The following is an 11,562-nucleotide window of genomic DNA, read 5'->3' on the forward strand; positions in this document are numbered from 1 at the left end:
ATTTTTTGTTTGTTTTGTTTTGTTTTCAGATGGAGTGTCACTCTGTCCCCCAGGCTGGAGTGCAATGGTGTTATCTCGGCTCACTACAACATCTGCCTCCCAGGTTCAATCAATTCTCCTGCCTCAACCTCCCGAGTAGCTGGGACCACAGGAGCAGGCCACCACGTTCAGCTGATTTTTGTATTTTTAGTAGAGATGGGGTTTCACCATGTTGGCCAGGCTGGTCTCGAACTCCTGACTTCAAGTGATCCACCCACCTCGGCCTCCTAAAGTGTTGGGAATACAGGCATGAGCCACCTCACCTGGCCTAAAATATACATTTTAATAATGGTGACATAATTTGGTAGCCAAAGAAACTGCTTTGAATGTTCCAGGCTATTGGGCCATTGATGGGGAATTAAAGTAGGTTGAAATTTAATCAGTTGATATTACTTTGTAAGGCTAATTTTTTTCCTTTTTGAAATGATTTCATTAATAGCTGACATATTTATTTTGCAACAAGCTACTTACAATAAAGGAATAATAGTCTATTTATGTATTACTTGTGATTGGCCCTTTACTGCAAATAACAAATGCCACTAAATGCAAGCATTTACAAAAGGTTTACAATCCAGTCTACAATCATCAGAAACCTGCTCTACAAATCACTGCTTTTTTTAAAAAGTATTTAATCATTTTTTTAATTGACAAGTAAAATTGTGAATATTCATGGGGCAAATAGTGATGTTTTGATACATTATAATGTATACTGATCAGATTGGGGCAATTAACATCCATCATCTGGAACATTTATCATTTCTTTGCATTGGGAACATTCAATTTTTTTAAAAAGCTGGTTTTCATGGGGAAGAAAACCACACTTATTAATATTTTCTGTGTCTGGTCAAGTACTCTTTATATATAATTAACAGTCTCAGCTGGGTGCAGTGGCTCATCCCTATAACCCTAGCACTTTGGGAGGCCAAAGAGGGAGGATTATTTGAGCCAGGAGTTCAAGACCAGCCTTGGCAACATAGCGAGAACTTATCTCAAAAAAAAAAAAAAAAAGCTGATGTGGTGACACATGCCTGTCATCCTAATTACTTGAGTGGGTGGATTGCTTGAGCCCAGGAGGTCAAGGTTGCAGTGAGCCGTGGTTGCACCACTACACTCCAGCCTAGGCTGGACAGAGTCTTGCTCTGTCGGGATCTCCACTCACTGCAGCCTCCACCTGCCGGGTTCAAGTGATTCTCCTGCCTCAGCCTCCCGAGTAGCTGAGATTACAGGCATGTGCCGCCACACCTGGCTGATTTTTGTATTTTTAGTAGAGATGGGGTTTCACCACATTGCCCAAGCTGGTCTCGAACTCCTGACCTCAGGTGATCCACCTGCCTCGGCCTCCCAAAGTGCTAGGATTACAGGCTTGGGCCACCTCACCTGGCCTTTTTTTTTTTTTTTTTTTTTTTAGTCTTCCCAGACACTGATAATAGATAGGCATCTTTCAAGCTGATCCCCACTCGAGTTTATAGGTGGTTTGACAGCTGCCTCTCCTCAACGTTGCATCTGTTATGATGGTTTAATTGTTGAGTCAGAGCCAGTGAACATTTATATTTCCTACCAACTACCTTGAAGTAAATATCTTGGGAGCTGCTGGCCTGGAAAGGTTGTGAGAAGGCTCCTGGCTTCTTCTTTGTCTCACTTAACATTTATTTTAAGGTCAAAGCAATATCTGCACACTACTTTCTCTTTGGTCCCCCAGATACAGTGAGCCCCTTGGTCCAGTCCTCTCCATGTCCTATATGTAGTTTCACCCTAGATCAGATTTTGTGTCTTGGTTCTCAGACCAAAACGGGAACACTGCATGATTGTTTTCTGGAGCCCATCCATCGTGGATGCCAGCCTTGTATCCACATAGGAGTTGAAGCTCCTTTTGTATTGTATTTCCTGAATCACCACTAAGCGAATACAGTCTTTTCTCATCTAGGCTGGGGATGTTGAAAATGCTCAGCCTTCTATAGAAATTCTTAAGTTCTCATTAACACATTTCACAAAAGGAAATGAGTATTATTTGACATGGTTCAGATGGTGTTTTAATGGTCAGCATTTGAATAAATACTTGCATTATAATTTGTCCCTTTAAAAAAGTTGTAGCTGAATGTAACTTATTAAATGTTCAGTGGAATGTAAAAATATATATATATTAATACATACAGATTTTTTTTTCTTTTGGATTATTTCACTGGGTTGAATTCCTAGGTGAGACACTGGGTCAAAGCATACCAGCTCTTGCTAAGTGTTGCCTAAGTGTGTTTCTACAAGGATTATATCAGTTTACTTGGCCACTAGCCAGGTGTGATTGCACCTGTTTCCTAAAGCTTTGACTGGCATTAGGTATTTAATTGCTGCTTAGCTATTAATTGGGACCACACTATACATACAGTCTTTAATTTGCATTTCCTTAATTACTAAGAAAGTTGAGTCTTTTAAAAAAATGTTTATTGTTTGTATTTCCTCTTAGGTGCCTACTCAATTCAAAGCAACAGACATATTTTGAGTGCCCACTATGTGCCAGGTAGTATGTGCTACCCTCAAGGATGAGTGACCTAGTGAAAATGACCATTTGGGATAGGGTGAGGGAGCCAGAATAGTACAGAAAATATATGACTGACTGTCCTCCACAAGTAGAAGCACAATACTGGCAGGCAGTTTGGGCAAAGTTTTTTGAATGAAAGACAAAGAAGGAAGGGCCTGACTCTGAAATATATTAGGCTTTTGCAGGGCAAGTGACTTTAGAGCTAGAGCTAGAGTTAAGATTTGTCCAGGTGAGAAAATGATGTATGGGGGGAGAGGGAAAGATGCGTAGAGAGGTAAAGGGGTAAGTATGTAGAGTTGTCCATTATGGCTACAATGCGGAATGCTGGGGGGAGAGGGAAAGATGCGTAGAGAGGTAAAGGGGTAAAAGTATGTAGAGTTGTCCATTATGGCTACAATGCGGAATGCTGGGGCTGAGGGATGGTGGGATTTTGGCTGGAAATGAATGGTCAGGGCTAAACTCAGGAATCTGATCTTTGTCCTGAGGATTATTTTTGTTCTTAATGAGGAATGACATGAGCTCATGTGTTTTAGAAAGACCTTTCTGGCAGCAAATGAGAGGCAGATTTGGAGACACTGGAGTGTATGAAATGAGCTTGTTTGTATCCTTAGCCATTTACCAAGGGTCGAAGATAAGACTATGAATAAGATTTTTGTGTAGTATGCACATTAACCCTTTATCTGACCTACTTAAAACAACATTTCAGGCCAGGCACAGTGGCTCACGCCTGTAATCCCAGAACTTTGGGAGGCCGAGGCGTGTGGATCAACTGAGGTCGGGAGTTCGAGATCAGCCTGGCCAACATGGCAAAACCCCGTCTCTACTAAAAATACAAAAATTAGCCGGGCGTGGTGTCGCACGCCTGTAATCCCAGCTACTCTGGAGGCTGAGGAAGGAGAATCGCTTGAAGCCGGGAGGTGGAGGTTGCAGTGAGCCGAGATCGCGCCACTGTACTCCAGCCTGTGCAACAGGAGCGAGACTCCATCGCAAAAAACAAACAAACAAACAAAAAAAGAAGGTAAAAATGTCGCTTTTTTTGTAAATAATTACTGATGCTTACTCAACTCTTTACATTGTATAATGCTCTTTATTTATTTATTTTTAAATTGAGACAGAGTCTCACTCTGTTGCCCAGACTGGTCTTGAACTCCTGGCCTCAAGTGATCCTCCTGCCTTGGCCTCCCAAAGTGCTAGGATTACAGGCATAAGCCATCATGCCCCGCCAATGCTCTTTAACATATATTATTTCATTTGATCCTCATAAACATCCTTCTGAAGTAGTTATCTCCATTGTACAGATGAGAAAGCTGAGGCCATGATATGTTTGATGATGTCTTCGCCAAGGTTACCTAGGTAGTAAGTGGCAGAGATAAAATCTGAATATAGGCATTCTGATGACCATGCCACCTCCAGAAGAAATGACAGGACCTTGTGTCCTATAGAAGAATATAACTTGACCTCACAATTTCTAGCCTGAAAAATTATATAAATAGTGGCTGGAAAAATCAGCCTATTTTGGAGGTAGATAACAAATTCTGTTTGGGGTGTGTATTGCTAAGGATGCTAGCAGAACATACCGGTAGAGATGTCCAACAGGCAGTTGGAAATAGGGAGAGAAAGAAGTTGGGTTGAGAACTCATAGACACAGAAGGCAGCTACTTGGCACCAGGTAATACAAGTGATTGGTGTTCTATAAACTTCCAAAGCCTGCTCAGTTATTCATCTGCTCACACCATCCCATGCTTAGCGCTTCTTCCTCTATGTTGAGGCTTTCAGGAGGGCTACTGGGGAAAAAAAACAAAACAAAACCAGTGACCACACAAAAGATAGGCTTGGAGTATTTATCCTGGAGAATAAATAATGTCACTCAGGTTTACATGCCAAGGATTTCATCCATTCAATCACTTGCGCAACAAATATTACCTGGGTTATGCTCAGGGTTAGGAGAATGATGAAAAAAACAGACATATTCCGGCAGTGGCTCATGTCTGTAATCTCAGCACTTTGGGAAGCTGAAGTGGGCAGATCACTTGAGGTCAGGAGTTCAAGACTAGCCTGGCCAACATGGCGAAAACTGTCTCTACTAAAAGCACAAAAATTAGCAAGGCGTGGTGGCACACATCTGTAGTCCCAGCACTCAGGGGACTGAGGTACGAGAATCGCTTGAACTCAGGAGGCAGAGGTTGCGGTGAGCCAAGATCAGGCCACTGCACTCCAGCCTGGGCGACAGAGCAAGACTCTGTCTCATAATAAAAAATTTTAAAAAATAGACATAGTCCCTGCATTCATGGAGCTCAAGAACTAGTAGGAAAAACAGGCATTGATCAAGAAATCACAAAAACAACTAATTATAAACTCTCACTGAAGAAAAGAAATACCATGCTCTGAGAACAGTTTATATAAAATAAGGGTACCAGACCAAGTCCAAGGGTCAAGGAATGTTTCCTCTAGAATATAATTTCTGAAGATTTTTCCTCTTCTTTTTTCTTTTTTGAGACAGAGTCTCGCTCTGTTGCCCAGGCTGGAGTGCAGTGACACAATCTCTGCTCAGTGCAACCCACGCCTGCCAGATTCAAGCAATTCTCCCTGCCTCAGCCTGCCAAGTAGCTGGAATTACAGGTATCCGCCACTACACCTAGCTAATTTTTGTATTTTTAGTGGAGATGGGGTTTCACCATGTGGGCCAGGCTGGTCTTGAACTCCTGACCTCAGGTGATCTGCCCACCTCAGCCTCCCAAAGTGCTGGGATAACAGGCGTGAGCCACTGCACCTAGCTTTTTTTTTTTTTTTTTGAGACAGAGTCTCACTCTGTCACCCAGGCTGGAGTGCAGTGGTGTGATCACAGCTCAGTGGCACGATCACAGCTCACTGCAGCCTTGACCTCCCTGGCTCAAGTGATCCTCCCTCCTCAGTCCCTGAGTAGCTGGGACCACAGGTGGGCGCTACCATGCCCAGCTAATTTTTGTACTTTTTGTAGAGATGGATTTTCACCATGTTGCCCAGGCTGGTCTCAAATTCCTGGGCTCAAGCAATCCCCCCACCTCAGCTTCCTACAGTACTGGGATTACAGGCGTGAGCCACCGTGCCCAGCCCCGAGTGTTCTTCTTTCCCTCTTCCACATACACCTCCTCCAAGCCTCACCATTAAACCTCACAGGGAAAGACAATGTTAAATATCTTCACAGAGAAATCCAGGACTGAGTATATATTCTCCATATGCACTTGTAAACCTCCCATAATGATTCACCTTGCCATTTCCATGTGTCTAGTCCACAATATCATTTTATCTACATTATCTGGCTTGCATACTAATCACAACCTTGTGACATAAGCAGGCGAGTATGACTATATGCATTTTTTTCTGAAGTAGAATGTGACAAAGGCTAGGTAACTTGCCTAAAATCACATGGCTCATTAATGGGGGTGCTGGGACTTGAACTTGGGTCTTGTAAGACCTAGATGGCATTATTCTTGTAATATTCATTCTTTTATTTATTCATTCATCCATAGACATGTATTGATCACCTTTTGATTAGCTGTCAGGCTATATATGGAGCCATCAGGAACCACTGAAGGTTTTTTTTTTTTTTTTTTTTTTTGAGACGGAGTCTCACTCTGTCACCCAGGCTGGAGTGCAGTGGCACGATCTCTGCTCACTGCAAGCTCTGCCTCCCAGGTTCACGCCATTCTCCTGCCTCAGCCTCCCGAGTAGCTGGGACTACAGGCGCCTGCCACCACGCCCGGCTAATTTTTTGTATTTTTTAGTAGAGACGGGGTTTGACGGTGTTAGCCAGGATGGTCTCGATCTCCTGACCTCATGATCTGCCCGCCTCGGCCTCCCAAGGTGCTGGGATTACAGGCGTGAACCACCGTGCCCGGCCGAACCACTGAAGGTTTTTAAGCAGGAAAGCAGAGCTGTTTTCTGGATGAGCAAACAGAAAGTAGTGGTTTTCCAAGTACAGTCTGAGACAACCTATAGGACCAGAATCTCTGCAGTTGAGGCTCAGGAATCTGGTAATCAGCCAGGTATAGGAACTCTTTTCTGATTGCAATGCAGTGAAGAGCAGAAGCACTGTATTAGAGAAAGAGGCAGTGCAACCAGGTAACGTGACCAGGTGAGAAGTGATGAGGTACAGAGACAAAGAGATGCACTTTTGAGTCACTTAGATGGCACTGATAGGACTTCCACTACACCCTCGCATAGACAGTGGCTGAGGTTCAGGAAATAGAGCTGGGGTTCCTACTTGGATCCTCTGGCTCTAGAGCTTTACTGCACATAGCCATTTATACCCACATCTTGATTTTAATTATTTTATATCTATGTTTCTTAGCACTTTTTGCAAATTTCCACCTTATCTCAAACTGCCCTCAAGCCTTGTATTTCTCCTTCGCTTTCATAAAACCTAGGAAAGAAATAAGGGACAGCCAAGTAAAACTTTTAAAAGTTTTAGAACATTTATTTCTTTGGGGCTGGTTACACAGGCGAGAAAGAAGTAGATTTGGTTAGGGAGAGAAAACAACAGGCCTTGGGGAGATACACTGGCTCTCCCCCTCCCTAAACCCTAAGAGGCCTCCAGGAAACCTGAAGACAATAATTCCAGAAGCCCAGAGGGTGACCCCATTTCCTCTCTCCATGGTTATTACTGTCAGTCTGGAGCAGTTCAGGAATTCAGGAAACTATAAAGAAACCACAACAGCCTCAACAACCCAAACATCAACATCAACAACCTCAACAATAAAACTCCTTAAAATTCATCTCCTTCCACCCACTCACAACCGCAGACTCGAAGCTAGGAGGTGGAAGGGACTACAGAAGCTCTGCGTTGCCCAGGTTAGTATTTGCTCATCACAGGCCTGGGTTTCCCAGGATCTCAGGGAGCCTGGAAACTGACGCCTCCATTTCTGGGTGGGAGCACCAAAGCCTAAGGACACCTTTCCTCTCTCTTCACTGCTAAGCAGGTCAAGATTAAAGCAAACCGAGGCAAAGGCCACGGTTGACAGTTCCAAGGGAACCCGCAAGGCCGCACAGGATGGGGTGGACGTTTTACGGGAGAAAAGGCTGGGGAAGTGGGCGGGCGATGGCCTACGACGGGACTTGGGGCGGGGTGTGCGAAACGCCTGGCAGGCGGGCCCTTGAGTATGACCAATCAGAATGCGGACTGCGTCCCAGGGGCGGAGCAGAGGCGTATCTTGGTCGAGATTGGATAGCGGCGGGGCGCAGGAAAGAGGTCGCGCCAGCCCGGGCAGGCAGCTTTGCAAGTCCGCGTTATATATCGCAGTGGCTGCGCCCGGGATAGCTGGCTGCGCCGCCGCGCACATGCCTAGGTTCGACGCCCTCCTCCCTTTGCCCAGGAGTTCCTTCTGTCCCGGCTCTGTTCCGTCTCGCCCCGAGGTTCACGCCATCCTCGGAGCCCCAGCCTTTCACCCAGCGCCTCCAAGCTTTGGACCTTGACTTCTGCAAAACTAGATGGTCACAGCCATGAATGTCTCACATGAAGTAAATCAGCTGTTCCAGCCCTATAACTTCGAGCTGTCCAAGGACATGAGGCCCTTTTTCGAGGAGTATTGGTGAGACTTTGGGAGAGGGAAAGGCCATGCCAGGGCCCCGGGGCCGGGGCGCGAGGGGGTGGCATTGAATGCCCACAATGATTTTCTTACAGAGCAGAGTTATGGGACTCCCTTGTACTGGCTTCACACTACCTTTGTCCGAGGTGCAGGTAGTATGTGGCACCTCAAAGAGATTAGAGCTGAAAGCAAGCAAGCAGAAATAAGAGGATGAGGGAGAACGTGGAAATATACAGAAGTCAAAGAGAGCGTGTAGTGAGAAGGGTCTTGGAGGCGTGAGGTTGATCTGAAGCCTTACTAGATGACTTCCCCGTCCTTTGTGGCTGTGTGTGCGCGCGTGTGTGCACAGTGCAGGGCCCGGGGGACAGCCTGCCCTTTACAATTATCCCATCGTTCCCCAGGTGCTCCACCGTTCCTGCTGTGGAGAAGGAGGCGAAGTCAGAGAGCTCTTCCAAGCTTTCCCCAGGAAGAGCTCTCTGGCTTTGCCTTAAAGCTCCCCAGAGGTTTTGGAGGCTGACTTTATGCTCCAACCAATTTGCCATACCCCAGCCAGGGAGAAGCTATTGCCACATTCTTCTTACGCCACAGCCCTGGTATGCTTCTAGGAGCCCCAACCAGGGAGAAGCTATTGCCACACTTCTTACACCACAGCCCTGGGCTGCTTCTAGGCGCGGGCCAGACAGCCGTCACCCACCTCTAACCCCACTGAGAGAGCAATAATCACAGAAACCTTGGACATAGCTCCTGCCCTGTGCTAGATACTTTGTATACGTTAATACCCCCAGGAGAGATGTAGTATTCGCGCTCTACAAATGAGGAAGCCAAGGCTCAGAGAATTAAGTTGGTTTTTCCAATGTCACATAGCTAGTAAGTGGCAGAACTGGGACTCCAACCCAGAGCACTCACCTGGAGAGATGAGTGGGCATTTCTCTAATCAGCACCCACCCATGAGCCCATCCCTCTGCCTTCTGCTTGCCAGGGCAACCTCATTCCCCATAGCCCTGATCTACCTGGTTCTCATCGCTGTGGGGCAGAACTACATGAAGGAACGCAAGGGCTTCAACCTGCAAGGGCCTCTCATCCTCTGGTCCTTCTGCCTTGCAATCTTCAGGTAAGACCCCATCCCACTCCCTGCCTCTTCTCTAGATCTTAGACCACCATTCTATCCCTTGAAGCTTTCCCGATTGCATCAACCTCCATCCTGTCCCCAAGTTGCCTTGTAACACTCTCCCCATCTCATTCTCGGCTTTAGTTCCCCTCCCAGCCTTCACCCTCTTCTGTTATATTATCCTGTTTTCCTTCTCTTTTAGACCCCTACCTGGTGGTCTCTGCTTTGTCCCTCTTGCCTTCGTAGAGTCTGTACTCGCAACTAATTTCTCCAGCCTCTAATAGTGTCACCTCCTAACACCCTCTCTCAAGACCCTCCAATAACTTCCCCATATTTTCTCCCCCAAACTCCTTCAGTCTTCCCCTATCCCTCTACACATCTCCTCCCAGGCTCCTAACCCCTCCCAAGAACCCCATTCCTTAACTCAACTTTCAGTCCCATCCCCCTGCATTCCCTGATCTTTCTCCAGCCCTCGTCTCCTCTAGACTACTGATTGGATCTACCAGATTGGCTTCAGGATCTCAGGAGCTTTGACCCACCCCCTGTGGACAGGTGGGGAGGTGGTAGAGCTTGGAACACAGTAACCTGGCCAAGCCGGGGGAAGGGTGGATTATTGGTGCCTGGGGATGACACTTACACCATCTTCCTTTGTCCCATTTCAGTATCCTGGGGGCAGTGAGGATGTGGGGCATTATGGGGACTGTGCTACTTACCGGGGGCCTAAAGCAAACCGTGTGCTTCATCAACTTCATCGATAATTCCACAGTCAAATTCTGGTCCTGGGTCTTTCTTCTCAGCAAGGTCATAGAACTCGGTGAGTGGCAAAGCTTTGTCTTTCTGGTGCCTTGTGAACTGCATCCTTCCTCAGGGCCCTCCCTTCACCCATCCCATGGAGGGTCTCTTTCCTACCCTTGGGTCCCAATAATACCTCTCACCCAAGCCCCTCTACAGATTCTCTGCCACAAAGACCCCCTTCCCTCCCCTGAGAATTTCTCCCGTGTCCCTACATCCAGTGCAGAGGGTGGTCCCAGCACTGGGTGGTATGCCAACTATGACTCTCCATCTCCCAGGAGACACAGCCTTCATCATCCTGCGTAAGCGGCCACTCATCTTTATTCACTGGTACCACCACAGCACAGTGCTCGTGTACACAAGCTTTGGATACAAGAACAAAGTGCCTGCAGGAGGCTGGTTCGTCACCATGAACTTTGGTGTTCATGCCATCATGTACACCTACTACACTCTGAAGGCTGCCAACGTGAAGCCCCCCAAGATGCTGCCCATGCTCATCACCAGCCTGCAGATCTTGCAGATGTTTGTAGGAGCCATCGTCAGCATCCTCACGTACATCTGGAGGCAGGATCAGGGATGCCACACCACGATGGAACACTTATTCTGGTCCTTCATCTTGTATATGACCTATTTCATCCTCTTTGCCCACTTCTTCTGCCAGACCTACATCAGGCCCAAGGTCAAAGCCAAGACCAAGAGCCAGTGAAGGTTTGGAGAGAACAATGAAGCTCCAGGCTCTCTCTTCTCCAGGGCACCAAGAGGCTGGGCTTAGTTTTGGGAGAATGATTAGGTTGCCTTACCTGCATGGTTTCCCCAGAGGATGTGTGCCCCAAGGTGGCTGGAATTTTTGACAGACAAGAAGGGTGACCTTGGGATGGGGGTGTGGTCTGTTACTTTAATGTTTCTGTTTTTAATGTGAAGGCCAAGCAGGCCCTGGGATGGGAGTGGGGCGGAGGAGGGTCCTAAGAGCTGATTATTTAATTTCTATCCAGAAATCTTTCTTCTTCTTGCTCTGTTTTTTTAAATTAAAGATTTCAACAAAATTTTGAGAGTTGGGGGATTTGGGGGGAAAGAGGGCTGCTGTGATGGCAGGAGGCTGCTACCAAGGGGATGATCTGCAGGTGGGACGCCTGAGGGTGTGTGGAAGGGTGAGAGGCACACACACAGACACTGAAAGAATCCTAGGCCTGGTAGGCACTTAACAAATGTCTGTTACAGACCAGAATTTTATTGCTGTTAGAGACCCAAGCCCCTCATAGGAACAGTGAGAAACAGGTGCAGAAAGGCGGAGTAACTTTATCTAAAGTCATAGGCTCCCTGAATAGCAGAGCTGACACCTACAAGGAAGCGTTGGAGACCAGATCTACCAGCTAGCCTCCCTGAGACCACGAGGTGGCGCCGCAGCACCGGCTGTGGCCGATGCCAGCCAGGTAGCCGGTTTCCCACGTCCCCCGCACGCACGCACCTCTTTGCTGCAGGAATCCCGGGCTGCCCCGACCTGGAGTAGGGGGGGTGGTGAGTGGGAC

General features: G+C 47.0%; 1 protein-coding gene across 2 annotated transcripts, besides 2 other annotated features; it reads left to right on the top strand.

Annotated features, from left to right (window-relative positions):
* Positions 1 to 6,256: 6,256 nt before the first annotated feature.
* On the top strand, positions 6,257 to 11,079 carry ELOVL3 (ELOVL fatty acid elongase 3). 2 transcript variants are annotated; one of them, XM_011540245.2, is made up of 5 exons: positions 6,257 to 7,402; positions 7,924 to 8,139; positions 9,116 to 9,247; positions 9,907 to 10,058; positions 10,315 to 11,079. In XM_011540245.2, the coding sequence occupies exons 2-5, from the start codon at positions 8,039 to 8,041 to the stop codon at positions 10,740 to 10,742; spliced, it is 813 nt and encodes a 270-aa protein (XP_011538547.1). In that variant the 5' UTR covers positions 6,257 to 7,402; positions 7,924 to 8,038; the 3' UTR covers positions 10,743 to 11,079. The 2 variants fall into 2 exon arrangements, with proteins under 2 accessions (XP_011538547.1, NP_689523.1); NM_152310.3 differs by lacking the exon at positions 6,257 to 7,402 and having other exon boundaries at positions 7,789 to 8,139.
* Positions 7,771 to 7,820: a silencer, noted in NCBI's record as "silent region_2751". NCBI's record gives its function as "represses an Ori minimal core promoter by ATAC-STARR-seq in GM12878 lymphoblastoid cells {active_cell/tissue: GM12878}" and the evidence as "EXISTENCE:reporter gene assay evidence [ECO:0000049][PMID:35858748]".
* Positions 11,348 to 11,516: a silencer, noted in NCBI's record as "fragment chr10:103989615-103989783 (GRCh37/hg19 assembly coordinates)". NCBI's record gives its function as "represses an EF-1alpha promoter that drives an FKBP-Casp9 reporter gene in an ReSE screen in HepG2 liver carcinoma cells {active_cell/tissue: HepG2}" and the evidence as "EXISTENCE:reporter gene assay evidence [ECO:0000049][PMID:32094911]".

This window comes from Homo sapiens, chromosome 10 (genome assembly GCF_000001405.40).
Source record: "Homo sapiens chromosome 10, GRCh38.p14 Primary Assembly".
NCBI lineage: Eukaryota > Metazoa > Chordata > Mammalia > Primates > Hominidae > Homo > Homo sapiens.

Bases quoted from the DNA above. Each gene is read 5' to 3' on its own strand.
- ELOVL3 (XM_011540245.2), top strand. From the start codon at position 8,039: ATGGTCACAGCCATGAATGTCTCACATGAAGTAAATCAGCTGTTCCAG. The intron at 8,140-9,115 runs GTGAGACTTTGG...TCTGCTTGCCAG, and splicing joins CCCTTTTTCGAGGAGTATTG to GGCAACCTCATTCCCCATAG. The intron at 10,059-10,314 runs GTGAGTGGCAAA...TCCATCTCCCAG, and splicing joins CAGCAAGGTCATAGAACTCG to GAGACACAGCCTTCATCATC.